This window comes from Homo sapiens, chromosome 2 (assembly GCF_000001405.40).
Source record: "Homo sapiens chromosome 2, GRCh38.p14 Primary Assembly".
NCBI lineage: Eukaryota > Metazoa > Chordata > Mammalia > Primates > Hominidae > Homo > Homo sapiens.
Window position 1 is genome coordinate 165,875,165 of NC_000002.12, and position 19,894 is coordinate 165,895,058.

The 19,894-nt window shown below is 34.9% G+C and overlaps 1 protein-coding gene across 5 annotated transcripts in view; it reads right to left on the reverse strand.

Annotated features, from left to right (window-relative positions):
• TTC21B (tetratricopeptide repeat domain 21B) overlaps nt 1–19,894 on the reverse strand; it is an 80,415-nt gene that overhangs the window by 1,803 nt on the left and 58,718 nt on the right. For 3 of the 5 annotated variants that reach the window (NM_024753.5, XM_047445870.1, XM_011511871.4), the window contains 6 exons: nt 15,674–15,824; nt 15,315–15,476; nt 13,115–13,310; nt 8,630–8,854; nt 5,515–5,635; nt 1,001–1,068 (listed from right to left, as the gene is read on the reverse strand). In NM_024753.5, the coding sequence (NP_079029.3) occupies nt 1,001–1,068; nt 5,515–5,635; nt 8,630–8,854; nt 13,115–13,310; nt 15,315–15,476; nt 15,674–15,824 (923 nt within the window). Of the gene's footprint in view, nt 1–1,000; nt 1,069–1,418; nt 4,804–5,514; nt 5,636–8,629; nt 8,855–13,114; nt 13,311–15,314; nt 15,477–15,673; nt 15,825–17,114; nt 19,661–19,894 lie in introns of those variants that run through there. The other 2 variants (XM_017004967.2, XM_006712761.2) reach the window with 2 other exon arrangements.

The window sequence follows — 19,894 nt, forward strand, 5'->3', positions numbered from 1 at the left end:
CCCTTAGAGAGTGACTTTTATACAGCAGCACACATTAGCTTTACCTGAAATGATCTTGAGACATACGTATTTCTAGTTCTACTGAGTCTAAGAGTGGGGAGATGCTAGTTTTTTTTTTTAACTCCAAAAATGATCCTAATATATAGCCTTACATTAACACACAACCCTAACCTGACTGAAATACTGCTTTACAGAGACTCAGTAATCAACAGCAATTACTAAGGCCAAGTATTTACTGTAATGATGCTAACAGATTGCTGTGTGGGATAAGGGGCATTACAAAATTCTTTTCTAATGAACTTTTCTTGGAGGTCCTTACAATGTTTAATAGAATGTCTTATATGGAATATCAATGGGACAATGTATATATAAAGAGACTCTACAAATTCTAAAACTGTAATTTAAATATTTGTCATTTTAGTAGGTGATCATTTACTAGGGGATGAATTACAGAATGCAATTGAATGACTTCTAATAGAATTCCTTTTTATCTCTAATTGATCAGTCTGAATTCTCTAATAACCAGATTCAGACACATTCACAAGAACTTCTAATCAGAATAATGATCTGGAGAATCTATACTGTCTTCAAATATCTTCTAACTTAAAGACTACATTTTATTTAACATGTTTCTCCCACTGGTCTTTGTCTTTTTTTTTTTTTAAAGTAAAAGTCTCTTTTACTCCACCTCTTTAATCCTACTCCTTTCCATACATGTAAATATTTTATGGTTTATTGTTTAATATGTACTCTTCAGTGGTCTTTGTCTTTAAATTGACATAAACATTTTATTATTTGATCTCAAAGTAAAAACATGTTTTTTATTTAGGTGAACATCATTTTCTAAATTTCGAACACTGATAATCTCCCTAAACATACTGATAAATCATTTAACTAAAATAATGTATCCTCTATTTCTATTCACATACATCTGGAGATTTAAAAAAGTAGGAAATTGTGCATCTGAAAAATTTTAAGAAATCTAAATTTAAGTGTTTACCTGGTGACATATGTCAATTGAATCCACATATCTTTTTGCTTTTAAGTAATTAAATGCCAGTTTGTATCCTGTTAAGACAAAAACCATAAAACAGAATGATGGAGTACACTGCTACTATTACTTTTCCTTGCCTCCTCCTCTCTTTGCTTACTCACTAGAGAATGGTAAGGGAGGCTGGTGAATGAACAACCAAACTACGCTATACAGAGAAGTTGTGTGATAATAGAAGACAGAGTGACACAAAAGAAGTGTAAGAAGAAAAGAAAGTGGAGTTGGAAAAAAGGACCACAGTGAATACATTGATAGGTTAGAAAGCTGCCATCCCACAAGTGTGGTTTCTATAACTTACTAGAAAAGTCTCATTTATTTCAGGTTATAGTAAAAACTCATCATAGGGCAGTAAATGACAACACAGCCATTCATTTATACAGTACAGATTTATTTAGCACTTACACAGGCAAACTGATGCCTACAGTTATGAGGTTTGCATTCTATTAGGAGAAAAAGTACATTTTAAAATAATTGCATGAGTAAATAATTTCAAAACTGAGATAAATGTTATGAAAGAAAGATCCAGGCCAAGTGAGTTACCATAAAGAACCTGAAGGGTATCAAGAGATGTCTGAAATCTGAAGAATGAGGCATAAACTAGGCTAGGGTGGGAATCAAGGACACTCTCAGACAGAGGAAACTGCATGGATTAAGGCCAGTGGTAGGACACACAGGGAGTTAATGAACTTGGAGTATGGTGAGAAGACAGAGCACATAGGAGAGCGACACAGAGGAAGGCAGATTAGTCATCAATGACTGGTAAGAATTATCACAATTACTGATAGTGAAATGCCACACTTCTACTATCAACAATTAGAAGAATATTTAACACATTCCTCTTAATGGATGTTGTTCTCTTGTAACATGCTATAAAAATGAGAAAACTAAGAAGACAAGAAAAGTAACAGCAGCTGTGCACGCAGTAAACAAGATATAATGCAATGTAAAATAATGTGTAATAAAAAATATCTCACTCTACCTCTTAAAAATATGAAATAAGAAGTGTAAATAGTGCTCTTCAGCTCTAATAAAAGTACCAAAACAAATGTTTAAAATTTTAAATGTTTGAAAAGAATTACTGGCTAACATTATCAGATGGTAGTAAAAAGAAAGAAATAGAAATGATCTAAAATTCACACTATTTTATATATAGTCAGGCACTGCATGATGATGTTTCATTAACAACAGACCACATACATGATGGTGGTCCCAAAGATTTTTATACTGTATTTTTGCTGTACCTTTTCTATGTTTACATACACACATTGCTTATAGCATTCATGACAGTAACATGCTGTACAGGTATGTAGCCTAGGAGCAATAGGCTATACCAGATAGCCCAGGTGTGTAGTAGGATCTACCACCTAGGTTTGTGTAAGTATACTCTAAGATGTTCACACAATGATGAAATTGTCTAATGATGCATATCTCAGAAGATTTCCATTGTTAAGCGACACATGACTGCATATATATATGTGTGTATGTTTATATATGTGTGTGTATATATATGTATGTCTATATAGGTGTGTATATATATATCTCTACACACACACACATGCACACAGGCACACATGGGCAGGGCCTATGGCAGAATCTCACATCTCAGATTTTAGACAAAAATAAGAAGTTTCAGAGAGGTAAACTTAATGTCATTACCAACAAATTCTAAAATGAACTAAAAGGGTTTGTGACATTCAAAAAGTAAAGCAATTTTTAAGATGTCATGCCAAACATACTTACATGGGAACTAGTCAAGATTTCAGTTTTGGTTTGTGGTTTCTTGACTAGCTTTGGGATCTTACGCAAGTGGCTTGAGCTGTCATTTTCAGGTTTCCTCATCGCTAAAACAGGAATAACAACTCCTCCCTCTAACTCTTAGTATAATTTTAAAAATCATATAAAATACTTGTGAAATGGTTTTTAAAACCTTAGAATACCACAAAATATTAGCATTTTTTAATGTAAGCATTCACTATATTATAATCACAGAATTTTAACACTGGAAGAAACTTGATACATGACCTGGTACAAAAATTTCAGAGGAAATAAAGACCTAAGAAGGGGAAAGAAAATGTGCACTGCAGCTGCACTACACCTGCCAAACTTATTAGAACTCAACTATATGCAATCAGGAGAGACAGCGAGAGAATGCAAACATTCTACACAGTCTAATGACTGTCCTATAACCTGAGAATAGGTATGAAGGGTGAAACATGAGTAGTTTCTTCTCTCATTGGATCTCAGTTGTTCCTAGTGTGTTTCTTTTTTTCCTCGTATATATTTAAGATATACAAAATGATGTCGGTGTGTAGATGTGGGTGTGTAGATATATGTGTGTGTGTGTATATATATTTATTTATAAATGATTACTGCAGTCAAGCAAATTATCCATTCATCATTCATCCTGGTGCCTCTTATAGTGACAATATTCAACCCTGAATTCTATGGAAAGAGCATGAGCACGATTTTTTTTTTTTTTTTTTTGAGACAGAGTCTCACTCCGTCAACCAGGCTGCAGTGCAGTGGTGTGATCTCGGCTCACTGCAACCTCCACCTCTCGGGTTCAAGCAATTCTCCTGCCTCAGCCTCCTGAGTTGCTGGGATTACAGGCGCCCGCCACCATGCCCGGCTAATTTTTGTATTTTTAGTAGAGACGGAGTTTCACCATGTTGGCCAGGCTAGTTTCGAACTCCTGACCTCAGGTGATTTGCCCACCTCGGCCTCCCAAAGTGTTGGGATTACAGGTGTGAGCCACTGCGCCTGGCCATGAGCATGATTTTAAGGGTTTTCTGACAACTGAAAAAGTGAAATACATTGTTTATTTGGCCAGGCACATTGAGGGTGTTAGATGCAATGACAATCTTAAGGATGAAATTGAGGAATTAATGGAGAGCCTTAGAAAGAAATGATTACCAAAGCAAAGCTAGAGGAACTGATAAAATAATCTATAAAATACAATGATGACACAATGAAAGAACTAGTCATTTGGAATCTCTTTATTTGCTGAGGTCTTCCAAGGAATGGAATATATAAATAATTTAACTTCTATGTGCATTCCTTCTATGGAATAAAGTGTCAAAATTAATATTTTAAGGATATTTAAGGACTTTTCATTTTACCAGATGACTTTATTCTGAAAGATATATCACACCTTAGAATAAAAAATACTATAAAAATCATTAGTTTTTGTGCTTTGCACAAGTCTAGTATAGTATGAGAACAGACTCCAGGAAACTAACAGATGAGGGAAGACCTGAGCTAACAGCAGTTAGTATGAGGTTGACTCATTTGACTGCAAATCAAAATCGAATTCACACGGTGACATGGCTGCTGAAAAGACTGATGCCATCTTAGGCTGAATTAACAACTACAAATTGCCTAATCAAAAGAAAAAAATAGCTTAATTATACTTATAAGAAGCCAAATCATATTTGAGAGGTTGTTCATTTATGGTACAACAGGTCAGAGGGGCATGGAAAAATAAAACAGCACTTTCCAAACTTACATGGCCATGGCATCTACCACCTTCACACTTCATTCTTTTTAATTAAAAAAAAAATAATTATTAAAATCTCCCCAACTGTTCCAAAGCACAGTTTGGGAAACACTATTTTAGAGCTTCCAGGAGACAGCAACAAGGAAGATGAGAGACTCGGAATCCAATCTTAGGAAGAATGGACAAGTAACTGCAGATGGCTTGAAGACAAGTCCTAGGACACAGGACTGAAGATTGCAATTTAAAGGGTCATGATCTGTAAGAGGGAGGCATTCTGTAAGTTGCTCCGGAAAACAGACTTGGGCAGTTTCAAGGAGGCATATTTCAACCCAATACAAAGAAAGAGTACACAAACATGAGGATGAGCTCCCTCGTATGAGGAGAGAGGTTGGTCATGACATATATTCTGATGCCACCTCTGTTAGGGACACTGTAGACTAGCATTACCCAAACTAACAGCCTGCAACATCCAGCCTGGGACTGGATGATGTTTCTAGATGCTCAGGAGAAAAAAAAAATGTCCCATGGTCAAATAATTGTGGGAAACATGGCCCCTCTGTGATATCCATCGCAATATACGTTAGTGTTTAAAGGCTTTGAGAAGTAAAGAAACCTGTGTAATTCAATTTAATGCAATATTTTCCTAACTTACTTGGCAATGGAAACATCTTTTTCCATGGCATTCCCAATTTCAAAATAGCACCTTCTTTTAGAAGGAAGAGAAGGGGGCAGAATTAGACTAGATGTACACTAAGTGACTGAGGACAAGTTTGGAACTCAGGAAACTGAACTATTAGTAGCTAATAATATATTATGAATATAAAATTTATTCTCCTTTCAGAAAGGTTGACAATGAAAATTGACTCAATGTTTATTTTGTTTTGAAAAAAATCAAATGCATTTAAATGAAAATTAATAAATACAACATAATTTTTCTGTGAAAAATCTAGGTGATTGCCAAACTCACCTACTGCCGGATTTGTCCGATTGCTATATTTCCATGCCATCTCATAGTTCAAGGCAGCATCTGTATATGCTTGCTCTTTTTCCATAATGTATCCCATATATTCATAAGCTTTGCAGCAAGACTGAAGAAAAATGGGAGACATCAATAGATTAAACTTGATATCACTAAGATTTTATGGGATGTTTGTGACTATAGAGGTCAATCATATCAACCCATTTAAATGACAAATCAAACAATGGTTTTCAACCTTGGCTAGGCAATCAAATTTTTTACTGAACTTAATAAATGATTCTGATGGCAAGTCTCCATCACATATCTGCAGAATCAGGATTTTCTTTACAGAATCAGAAATACACAATAGGGCACTTGTGTTTTACACAAGCACAGGTACACTATTATGAGTGATTTAAACACATACAAATACAGAGATAAGAGCATAATGAACTCCATGAACCCTTATCTTCAATAATTATTTTTTGACTAATACTGTTTCACCTCTATCTCACAAACCTACCCTTCTGTATTACCAGAAAAAATCCTCAGATATTGTATCAACTAAGTCTAAATGTGTTAGTGTGCATCTGTAAAAGAAAAAGACGTTATTTAAACAGAACCACAATTTTATCACACCTAAAATGTTAATGACTCCTTAATAGCACCAAATATCCAGTACTGTCTAAATTTTAATTGTCTCAATATAATTTGTTTTTGTTAGATTGAGGACTGAAATAAGGACCAAACATTGTAACTGGTCAATGTTTTGATCTAGTCTCTTGATCCAGAGGTTTCCCTTCTGGTATGTCTGTCTGTCTCTCTGTGTCTCTTTTCTTGAAATTAAATGTAATAGAAACAAGAATATTTATCCCCGAGTTTCTCACAACGCAGGTTAATTGACTGCATCCTTGTGGTGTTTATATAATATATTCCTATGTCACTGACGTTTTCTGGAAGTTGTAATTAGATGTAGAGGTTTGGATTCAATTTTGATTCTGGAGGAGAGAGGTGAATCTACTTCAAACATCAGTGCTATGATAAGCCACACTGAGGCATAAAAACATGGATGCATGTTTTTGTATATTTCTTAATTGTAATTTTTTTCCAGAATATGAGTTTAAAAATATTGAAAAATCTGAAAGTATATATTAAAAATCACTACATTTAAGACTGAACATTTTATTTATACCTAAACTTAATTTCTTATCATTTTACTTTTCTCACTTTAATGGAAGAAATCTCACCAGTAATATTTTCATTAAAACCATTACCAATTACCCATTTTTTAAAAAACATAAAAATATGAATATAGGAATGCACATATTCCCTTTTGATTCAGGCTCCAATAAAGCTCAGCACAGCTGCATTAAATTATTATTTATCTTGATTACTAAGTGTTTCACTTGTCTCATCCCAACCCTAGCCCTGCCATAGATGTCTGTTCTTCTGTTGGGAGGCACAGAATGTCTGATTCTCCCTCTTTTTGTGATGTTACATCCATATATAAATTTATCAGGGTTGAAAAATGGGGATAGCCTATCAGTCTTTCTTCATTAATTAGCTGGAAAATGTCTATGATGAGAAACGTCTCATTGACTATTTGGTTAACCAATTCTGTACAGAAAAGGCAGGATATTTATTTGCAAGCTTTAGAAATAGCAGTCAGTTCACTAGCATACTGCAGTGGTTACCAATTAGGTTTTTTGTTTGTTTTGTTTTTTCTATTTTGGATCTTCGAGAAGTCATGGATTTAAACAGATTTTATGTATTTCAATATATTGCAGTTATCATTCTTATCAATACTTAAAGCATCCCAACTTCGGCTACTAGAGGTGTCTTTAAGTTGGCCCCTAGATCTTTCACACAAACTCTAATCATCATGGATAGCTTCCTTCATCATCTGGTATGGCAAGACAGTCTAGTGTCGTCTTGTACATTTCCTGCCCCAGATATGGATGACTTCCATTTTTTAAATTATGTAATTCAAGTTTCCTAAGCTTTAGTTCTTAAATATCATGCTTTCAATATCAACATATTCAACCAGCAGGGCTGAATGAAGCTTCTAAAGCAGCCATCATGTTCAACCATGCAATGTATTGTTATCAGCGTTCTGGCAAACTGAAATTGTATGTGCACTGAAATTCTCATGCAATCTTGGTTAATCCTAGACTAGATATAGAAGGGTAAACTATTCAGCAGTTTAGATTTTCAAAGCCTATTAATGAGCATTCGGCTTTTCAAAGCCAATTTAACATAAAATTTATGTAGCTAATCGTCTAGAATAGTGCATAAATTGACAAATGCTTGGATCTTTCAGGTTCTTAAGTTCCTAGGAAAGTATCTTAATAGTACTAGATAATCACAATTCCTCTTTAAAAAATAAACGGTCCATTTGTAATCTAATTCGCTCAATGAGAATAAAACAGATTTACTGTGATTAAGATTTTGAAGTAATTGATATGAATATATGAAGATAAATATCATTTCTAAGTTGTGTGCAATTATTTCTCAACAAAAAAATAAATCTTAACTTTAAAGAACTGTTATAATGACATCTTTTGTAATTAAACATCAAAATGTTAGTAAAAAGCCTTAAATTCTAAGGACTTTATAATATTCAATTTTATACCTAAATATAAGGAATTTTTATTAAACAAATGAAATTAAAAGCTGAAAAGATTTTCTCCCACAAAATATATTATGCATAATAGATTCTAATAATGAGAAAATGACATGCAGCTGCAGTAAATTCATCAAGAGTATTTCTTAATGGGAGGGACAGACGTCCGCAATTAATGTTCTTCTGCAATTTTCATTAGTTCTGGGATGAGATGGATAATCACAGGCAATCGTTTGACATTCCAAAAACACTTTCCGTTAAGTAGGGCATCACTACAGCTGAAACTTGAAATTGCATAAATCTTTCTTTTTTTTAAACTTTAAAGGACAAATGGCTTTTTTCTTATTATTAATGCTTGTTTCCTGATTGTGGTAAGAATAAACATTTAATTTTCAAAAATCACACAGGAATCCTTGGAAATGGACTAACACTCAACAATATCTATATGGAAAGCTTATGCAACAAAGGTCAATAATTATTTTTTACTCTTCAATCACCTACTCTATTATGACGCAGGCACCGTTTTAACAGGTCTTCTGCCATGTCATATTTTGCTGATTGAATGTAAATATCAGCAAGTAGCAGCCAACTCTTCTCAAACTCTTCAGCATCAATAGCATTCCAATTCATTTTCGCAATACGCTTCAGCTGGTTTCTGGCTCGTGGAGTCTGTTTCAAGATCATATAAGCCGTTGCCATTCCCAAGAGCGCTGGGATATGCTCCTTCTATAAGAAAACAAAATTTTAGACCATAAGATGCATAAACATAAATGCCCCAAAAACATACAGAAAGCAGAAAATGCTACATAAGAACTAGTTTGTGGATTCTATTTCTAGCTCCATTACAGATAACTGTGATTACAGGTCATTATTTAACACATCAAGTACCCTCAAGCTACTATGAAGAAAACTTGGTCAAGCACTGTGTGGTCAAGATAATTGAAGATAATGACAACTATTCAGATGCCATATGCACACAATTCCAAGAATTAGTGAGACTTTATCTTTAATGGGATTCAAACAGTCATGTTTTAGTTTTGTATAGAAACAGAAAAAATAAAACTCTATTTCAGTAAAATCCTTATTGAGCAGTTTGTATTTCAGATTTAACATTTAGGCTCCTTAGTTCTTTCACCTGTCAAAGACGAGTAACAATAATTTACCTGCAGATGATGGTCCTTACCCATTATGACTTCTATTGCTTTTTTTCCCCCTCCCTTCTCCTTTTATCCAAAAACCTCTTCTCCCAATAAAGTTTGAATAACGAAATGTTAAAAATAAGGCATATAATTAATTCACCACTTGGAAAGTATATGAAATAAACTCATGCCTTAAAATATGCTTTTAGATTTGGAGTCTGCAGCTTCCTAAAACAATCTATATGATATTCTTTTGGATAGAGTTTGAAGTCAGAGAATGTCACTCTGTGAAACCAATAGGTTAATGAGAACTCATAAAATGGAGGCCATTAGTGATCTATCCAGACAACTAACTTTCATAAGCAATAATGTGTATGTTCCTGATTAAGGTAGGATGCTTCCTAAATTTCAGCAGAGGGATTATGATGCATTTATAAAGAAAGAAGCCTCAGCTTAACATACAAATAAAGGGGCCAGGAGGGCAGCTCATGTCTGTAATCAAAGCACTTCGGGAGGCTGAGGCTAGTGCATAGCGAGACCTCGCCTCAACTGAAAATACAAAAGAAAAACTAGCTGAGTGTGGTGGCCAGCCCCTGTAGTCCCAGCTACTCAGGAGGCTGAAGTGGGAGGATCTCTTGAGCCTGGGGGTTCAAGGCCACAGTGAGTTATGATCGTGCCACTGCACTCCAGCATGGAAGACAGAATGAGACACTGTCTCAAAATAAAAACAAAAACAAAGGGTAAGAAATTGTGACTGAGGAACGGTGATACCATTACTATAATAAAAGTATACTATAAGATAGCAAATTTGGGTAACTCATAAGGAATACTGCAAAAGGAGAGTGGTAAAATGTTCAATGTCCAACTGATCTTTGGAAGTAAGAAATAACTCTGGAATAGAGAAGGGCAATACATCAGGGTTTTATAAAAACAGCTTTTAGAAATATAAAAACTTCCTTGCCTCAAATTCTGTATCTATCAATAAGCTTCCAAGATATAATCTGTTCCTCTAGGTAAGGGGTGGCAAAATGGTTTGAGTGTCAAATCCAACCAACTGGTTGTAGGTTATGAAGAAGTGTGGGATGTTACCAATTACTGAGCCTCACCCTCTCCCCACCTCAGCCCACCTCAGGTGGGCCAGGAGAGGAGAGAAGATAGAGGCCTGCTATGTATTTGTCAGCCAGGTCCTAGCACAGCCTAAGAGGAGGAGGGTCCTATGAAAAGGTCCCACATTCCCTCTACACTACACAATTAAAAATAACCTCTCTTACACTTTGAGTTTGATTAGAACGTATCGGTTCTTCACAACTTGATTACTCCTGAGTGAACTGAAGAACAGTTTCTAAAAGCAAACCTGAGTTCTAATCCCTGCATTAGGTCTTTTTTTCTGGTGCAGACATCCTAAGACCTACAGCCAACTTCTCTGTCTCTCAATAACTCTAAATTGCAGTAACTTTAGATTGCAAAGGACAAGACTTGGATGTGGACAATACAGCTGTTATTATAAACATCTCATCTTTATGGTTCAAGGTGATGCAATGAAAGCAAGTGGAAACACTTCAGCTTGGGCTTAATGTATCTTCCAGCATTTCTTCCATGATTTCTTGTCACATACCTCTTTTTTGGTCCCTCTGAATGACAAATAGGATTGTGAACATACCCTATGTTTTTCTGCCTCCCTGACTTTGTTCACATTTTCCTCTTCCTCTGAAACACATTGTCTTCATTTCTGCCTGTTAAAATGCAATTTATCTTGGTTCTTCAATCATACCTGTTTCTTAAATCCTATTTTTTCTTAAATCATACCTTCTTTACAAAAGGGTCTCCCAACTCTCCTTATACTGTCTCCTACAGCATTTTTATTTGCAATTCTAGTATGGAATGTAACACATTTTGCTTTGTATTAAGTCATCATAGTCAGTATGCTTGTCTTGTCTTCCATAGGCTATGAGAAACTTGAAAAACGGGACCATACATTATTTATCTTTGTGTTTCCCACTATGCTTAGCACTCGCTGGCTGCTTAATGAATATTCATTATATTGAATACATGCAGCCTAGGAGTTAAAAGAAAAAAAAGTGAGAAAATTTGATGCTTATGAAACTTCAGCTCATATATCATTGTCTTTTGAATAATATGGTTAGTAAACAGATCTGAAGATAGTATTTTACTAACCACATATGTAAGGATGATTAAAAAAAATAACACAGTCTTATCAACAGAAAGCAGGCATAGTCCTTCTAGGAAATAGCTGTAATATCATTCACTGCTTTTGGCTTTTTTTCTCTCTTAAACTTCACAGTAGGGATAACGGATTTAGTCAAAATAAACTTTCTCATTGTTATGAGATAGAATAGCACATCACAGCATTCAGTAGCTATGGCACCTGACATGAGAAGCGCTTCCTCATGTTCCTAGAGATTCTCTTAGATGTACATGATTGCCCTACTTCTGCTCTGCCTTCATTCAGCAGCTGTCATCCATCTGCTCCACAAAGCCAATTCAACAGAGCATGACCCCTGAGCACATTACTTCAATGTCTGCAGAAGGGCCTTGCTTTGGAGGGTTGCTGCTGCCATGCTGTCCTGCTGTTTTATTCCAAGCGCAATAATAAAGCTGCCATCTAGGATACTTGTACCCAAGCCACAACAAGAGTTGCAGGTCTCCCAAACCCCTGACATCTCAATCTCCTCCAGGGCCCTAAAAGGTGAGGGGAAAGAGATCACTGTCCAGGGCTTTGGGTAGTTTATTGCTGCCACTGTGACTACTGAATCACAAGAAATCACAGCAAAATTCTGTATGTTCTCTGAGACACATAAAATGAGTTTCCAGTGGCCTACAGCATCATTGAATGGAAGAACAAACATGAAATTCAATGAGTATGCTTAGAAGTAACTATTACCAACTGCTGATGGGAGGGTATCTAGAATTCCTTTCTTAATATCAAGCAATTGAAGAAATAAAGTGCTGTGTGAGGGAAGGAAAACAGTATCTAGAGAGTAAGAAAAAAGGTGGAGGAGGCCGAGATAGGCGGATCACCTGAGTCAGGAGTTTGAGACCAGCCTGGCGACATGGCAAAACCCCTTCTCTACTAAAAATACAAAAAATAGCCAGGCATGGTGGCAGGCGCTTATAATCCCACATACTTGGGAGGCTGAGGCAGGAGAATTGCCCGAACCTGGGAGGCGGAGGTTGCAGTGAGCTGAGATCGCGCCATTGCACTCCAGCCTGGGCGACAAGAGCAAAACTCCGACTCAAAAAAAAAGGAAAAAAGGTGGATTCGAGCACAGTGAAAAGAGAAGAAAGCCTCTGATTTTATAAAATAATACTATGAAAATAACAAATATGAAAAGATTGCAGGAGGTTATTTCAGTGTTGCTAAAGAATATCATTATTTGTATGACTAAATTATAAGCTATCAGTATTGATCTCATGTAGCTATATAGCTGGAAAAATTCCAAGTTCATGTAAGTGAAGAAGTAAGATATCAGGGCAGCCAGGTGTTTATTTCCACTTAGTAAGTTAATCTTGGCTACATCTACAACACAGAAATTCTCCAGGGGATAAAGTGGCTCCCTTGAGAATTAACTTATATACTTTTGAAGAATTCAGTTTCTGTAGAATTTAACATTCCAGTAGAGAGAAATATATCAACAACACAACAAAACAGTAACATCGTCTCTTCCGCCAAGAAGGGGACATTGTGTATGCCCAACTATATACCTAATTTTTAATAAAAGTTAAGTAATTAAGTCAATCTTCAGAAAATAAACAACTAATCAAAATATATGTTTCTATACTACCAAATAAAGATACCACATGAAGCTGAAAAAGGAAATCCACTAACCTCAGATGCTGCTATTTCAGTGAAGGTATTTAATGCTTGTTCAACATTAGATTTCTGTTTGGTAGCCATTAAGCAATAGTTTTCCATTATGCGAAGCTGTACGTGACCCTGAACAGTCTGAGGTTTTAGTTCCTTAAGAAGTTTTTCTGCTGTTCTTACTGCCAGTTGCACAGATTCTTGCTTCTCAGTTGAATTACTGTATATAATTAAAAATAAATCACTTCTGTCTCTTACTCATGATACAATTCATTGAGATTAGAATCAGCTTTTGTACACAAAAGCTCTGGGCACTCTTTTATACTCTTTTTGTCACTCATTTAAAAGTAATCTTTTGTAAAGAATGTCACTCATTCTCTTCTAATACAAAGTGAAGCACAGTTACAATGCATTTTAAACAAAATTAATATGGACTCAATAAAACACCATTAAGCATTAATTTCCTCTAGAATGAAGACAAAAGTTGGATAATATCTACATGTTGTAAATGTGTGCATTCCAGCAAATATAAAACTATAAGTAGAATCAGAAAATTAACATATATCTATTCAAAAAGTGAAAGGAAAGGAAAAAAGTGACAAATACTGTATTATTTCATTCTATGTTTAATCCATTTTACACACAGGAAAACTGAGGCTTGAACAGGTAAAGTAATTTTCTAAAGGTCACACAGCTAGTAAGTGGTAAACCTAGGACCTGAATCTAAGCTTATCAGACATATAAAATCTACTCTGTTCTCTTCACCACATTGCCTATCAGACTCTCAGAAATTATATATGTGTCAAACAGTAATTTCAAGTGCAATTTGAATATTTAATAGCAATTTTCTTATTTTATACACACAAACCCATGCACATAAATATACATAAATCAATTAATAAAAGGAAATTAAACACTCAAAGTCCAATCACTAAAGCCACTGGTCTTCTTCTCAGGCCTTAGGCTTATCTTGCCTAAACATGTCACGCTGTTGACTACCACTTCAAAGTTCTTCTCCCTTGGCTTCTGTAACACTACACAGCTTTAGTTCTCTTTTCACCATGCTGATTGCCCTTTTCTGACCTTCCTTCCTCCTCCAGACCCCTTAAATGTTAGCAAGCTTAACATTTAGTTCTCAGATTTTTGTTACTTCATTCTACCACTCACAAAGAGACCATTCATGGAGTTCCAACTATGCACTCTGCAGATGTCTCCCAAATCTCTATCCCTAGCTGTGACCTCTCTTTCTGAGTTTTAGTTTTGTATTTTGAATTGCCTGAAGAAGATTTCCACTTGAATAGCTTATAGTTCCATAACAGTAATGTTACCTCAACCTTCCTAAAACAACCATAAACATGCCACTTCCCTGCTCTAACTGGTCTCGGTAATCCAAGCGTTAAAATCTGTTGTTGAAATCTCTTGGCAATCTACCACTAATTTTCTCCAGCTCCTCCATGCATCTTCTCCTGAATACTATGCACTGCTATGATTCCTAATAAACTCTGACAATACTTAATATCTATTTAAATCCATTTATATTTAGTTGCAGATTGAAAGGTTTCAGGTATTGTCTTGCCTCTTAATTAAACACTCCTGAAGACAGAAACTACCTCTTATATTCCCTTTATGTCCTAATACATTCCCCACAAGCCTTGCCTGAGTCAGAAGAGAGGACAAGCTACTAATGCAGGTTGATAAATAACCATTGACTAGCAGTATACCACACTAACAGCAGTCAGGACTCAGTCTAAATCTTGCCTCCATCATTACTATCACATTAAACAAGTTGACTCAGCTTATTCTGCAATACTGTTATAGAAAACAAATGAGATAGTGTGTAGAAAGTATAGAGGACAGGGTCTGGAAAATAACTACCATTTGTTAAGTAGTTACTATTATTGTGTGGATAATTTTTGCTACAGTTGTCAAATTCTACAATTAGGGGAGTGTCTTCATAGCATGTCTATTATTATTTAGGAAACCTAAAAGCATTTCATGCCTGTTTCACAGAATAGTTACATTAGCAATAACTATTCTATTGAATAACTATTCAATTTGCTAAAATAACTATTCTCTGAAACAGGCAATGAAATGCCTATTTATTTAATTTATTCATCTGACCTTTCATTATTGCTATCCTAAATTTAGTTCTTTTGTATAGTATCCCTGTTTATTATCTCCAACAAGTGTTTTTTAAAAAAGGATAATATGTCAAATAACTCACCCCAGGTCTCCATCCAGGTTTTCAAATACTTCACCTCCAACAGTTTCATTATCTGGATTCAAACAGATCTCTATCATATTATAAAGGGCATTTTGGCCCCAGTCACGATCTTTCCGAGCTTTATTAAAATGTCGAAGGGCATCATTTGGTTCTCCAGTGTACCTTGTTAGATGTTTAAAAGAATTATTTATTTCAATCACTGACTACAAAATTTATATTAGTTTATAATCTGTCTGGTAAATAAAACTGTTGAATTATTTTGAAATGTACATTTTTTTTTACTACAAAGAAAAGCTTATTCTACTTGATTTACAATGAGAAAAAAAAATCATGTAGCATTTATTTGTAAATAGATTTACCAAAGATACAGTCCTTTACAATACTGAAATCCTGGTTCCAATTTTGCTCTGGAGTTACGTTTCTCAGCCATTGAGAAAAATCTTGGGACATCCTCGAGTTTTCCACATCTTCTTAGGAGATCAATCAAACGAGATAATGTCATATAATTATCTAGAAACAAATAATACTTCAGATATGGGCACCATTTTATACTGTTTCTTTTGTTGGTTATAATTCTACTTCATTAGAGTATAATTTACTTCATATAAAGTACATTTTAAATATAAATAAAAAATGCCTCAGGGTATAATTCCCTATAGAGGCTGTATGGCCAACTAGATGATCTACTAAATAATACAGTTTGGGCTAGGCTGGTCACAGTGTCTACATAGGCAAATCTAGAAAAATGCATATTTCTTGTAGCTTTTCTATTGTTTGGGGGACCAAAACCTTAGAGAAACAGCCCCTACCTAGGTAATCTAGACTTTCAACTGTGAAGTTCAGGAATACCGATTTAATTGCACAGGACAAGTTCACTGTCGGTCTCTGAGAACCCCTCTCCTACATACTGTTGCTAGGAAGGGTGTGGGAACAGTACAATTGACAAATAATGTATGGGATGGACAATAAGAAATTTTTCTCCAGTCTCTCTTTGATATGTACATGTAGCTAACATACCATATGCTAGCTTACCATACTAGAACCTTAGCATATTAGTCCCCATATTTTAATCCTGTTTCACCTTCTTCTAAAAAAAATTCATTCATTCATTCATTCATTCATTCATTCATTCATTCATTCCTTTGATCTCAGGTATAATTTCCTGGCAGGTTCCTAGAAAGCCTTCTTCCAATTCTATCTAGTTCTCTCTTATCAGTAACAAACTAAGCTTTGAGAATAATTTAATAAATCTTTTTTAGGATTGCAAAAATAATGTATAGACACTACAGAAAATAAGGAAAATATATATAAAAAGTATGAAGAAAAAAAAAATCACCATATTTCCAGCTAAAGATTAGCACATTTTGGTGTGCTTTCTTTCATATATTTGAAAACCAACCTATATATAAATGTAAGCAAAGATATTTCTTTGTTTACATTCATACAAAATAGATGTTTATTTAAATATATACAAAACTGGAGTCACATTGGGGTTTTGATTTTGATCGGTTTTGATTGGTTTTAATGTTGATTTTGATGAACATTAAACAGTTAACATTTCCCAACTGTCATTAAACAATCTTCTAAAACGTGATTTTTAATGGTTGCATAAGGGCCTACTTACTGATGATTCACATTATTTATTTCTTTATAGTGGTGTCTTTTAGATGTTTGTGTGCTCAAGTTTCAGTTAGTACAGGACTAGGGATTTGTAGGGGACTTGTAAAAACCCTTAAATAAGCTATTCTGAACATGTTCTTAGGTTGAATTTCTACAATTAAAACACACAAACAAAAAAGCTTGTTTTAAAGCTATTTATCCTTGACTCTATTTTGCTATTTGAAAAGAGATGACACCATGTAATTCAGCAACTTTCCTGAGTATATACCCAAAAGATTAAAAGCAGAGACTCAAACAGGTATTCGTACACCAACATTCATAGCAGCAACCTTCACAATACACAGAAAAAGTGGAAAGAGCCCACATGTCCATTGTGTTTGAATAGATAATCAAAATGTAGTATGTACATATAAAGGAATATTGTATATTGTATGTCTGCCATAAAAAAAGAAAATTTTGACATACACTACAACATGGATGAACTGTGAAGACATTATACCAAGTGAAATATGCCAGACACAAAAGGAAAAATGCTGTGTGATACAGCTTACAGAGGTGCCTAGAATAAATTCATCAACATAGAAAGTAGAATGATGGTTGCCAGGGGCTCCGGGAAGAGGAATGAGGAACGAGGAACTGGTGTACAGACTTCAGTTTGGAATGGCAAAAACGCAAAACGTTGATGGATAACGGTGATGACTTACACAACAATGCGAATGCATTTAATGCCACTGAACAGTACACTTAAAAATGGTTAAGATGATGAATTTTGTGTTATATATGTTTCACCACAATACAAAATATTCTTTAAAAAAGACTTTTGGAAATACTGTATCTACTTAATTACAGGATGTCAAACTAATACAGGCTGATAGTATCATTTGTCCCCTTGACACACAATCTTGGGTCCAGAGATTTTGTTCACCACACCTTTTAGCATCACTAAAAAGGGCACAATAAGAATATGGTTTCAGAAAAAGACAATTCAAATATTGGTCTTGTCCTTTAGCTATGTGAATTCAATCAAATTACTCAAATTCTTTGAGTCCAATATACTTATTTTCTTAAAATAGGATTATAATATTGACTGTAGGAGTGCTACAGAAATAAAGGCATGAAAAATATTTATAAATTACAAATGTTATTAATAATATTTATACTTCCAAAAATGTTGACAAGAAATAGAGTAACTACCCCATAATAAAGCCACAGCATCTGGAAGCTATATTGGATTAAGCAAGAACTAAAGGTTAAAATTTCGGATTAAATTTTTTTTGCATGATACTGCTAGTATTATCAACATTGGGAAGGCAATTTCTTGAATATTTCTTATATACTATTGAAATGTATTCATTATTAGTTCAAGTTATAATTACCAGTGACAGATTAAATTACATTCACTTGTCTTTGGTTAACCATGACATTTGACAGAAGGCAAATTTCTGCACTTAAGAAATGTATTAAAAACTAAAATGTATATTACCTTCTAAAAAACTTAGCTGGTCCATCTTTATTGATGAATAGTAGGAAGATATCAAAATAGTTATAGGGTGATGAGATGTGGCAAGCATGCAGTGCTATGGTATGGTATTACAAAGCACAGGATTCTTAACTTTGCCTGGAGGAGTTGGGAAATTTCACATAGGAGTTGACCTTTGAGCAGCCTCAAGGATAGGAGGAAGATCTTACTAGACGGACAAAGGCATTCCAAGTAGCAGAAGGCATGCGCCAAGAGGGAAGCAGAGAACAGTGTGGGGAGTGTTGGTAACTTTGATATTATTAAAGCGGAGGAAGAAGGATAAGAAATATAAATGGCCAAATAATTTGCGGCCATATTATTATTAAAATAATGCTATGATTTTAGACTTTATCCTGAAGCACTAACTTAAATTTTAAGCAAAGGGTAGGTTTTGATTTTTAGAACTGATATGCTAGTCCTATGATGACCTGGAGCAGCCAGAACCTAGAAGCTGGAAGATGAGTTGGGAATCTGCACTAGTTCAGATGAGAGGTGATAAGGGTCTTCATTAGAGCAGTGGGTTAGGATACGACAGACTGGATGTGTTAGCTAGCTATCAAGCAAACAGAGCTGAGGAGACATGTTAACCAATTAGTATGAAGGAAGGGGAAAGCTCAAGGCGATCTGGAGATTCTGAGAGAGAAAAGGGGCAATCTGTCGTGAGAGCAGTAATTAGATCTAGAAGAGGAATTTTTCAACTACTTAAATTAGGTCAAATTTGTATGGTACATTTCTGAAATAAGCTAAAATAGAGCCTTAATCTAAAGTACAAGATGAGTTACTGAGGATAACCAATAATGTACACATAAAATGAACGGAGATGCATGTTTTAGAGTAATTCCAACAAAATAGATCTGTGGATAAGTATGTAAGGTACTAGTAAGAATAAAGCATACAACACAAGATTAAAAACTCTTAAGATTAAAAATATCACATAGACAATAAAAATTTACTTAAAATTTTGTGGTTGTTTTTGAGACCAAGTCTCACTCTGTCACCGAGGCTGGAGTGCAGTGGTGTGATCTTGGCTCACGGCAACCTCCACCTCCCAGGTTCAAGCGATTCTCCTGCTGTGTTTTTAATTGACTTGGTGTTTTACAGTCATTCACTGATCCATTCAACCAATAAACATCTATGTTGCCACATCCATGTGTGTGGCATTTTGTCTGATATTGGGAATATGGTGTGATCCCTGAACTCGAGGAGTCTACAGTGTAATAAAGAACACAAATATGCACATAAATATTTTTAGTAAAATACTATAAGTAATAAAGACGTATGGACAAAGTAACCGAGGATTAGGGTTACCAACTCATCCCAGTTTGCCTGTGACTTTCTGTTAGCATGGGAAGTCCTGCATCCAGGAAAACCCTTTGCTCCGAGGCAAATCTAGGATGGTTGGTCATGCTACCCAGCACCACATAAGACATTTTTTAATGTA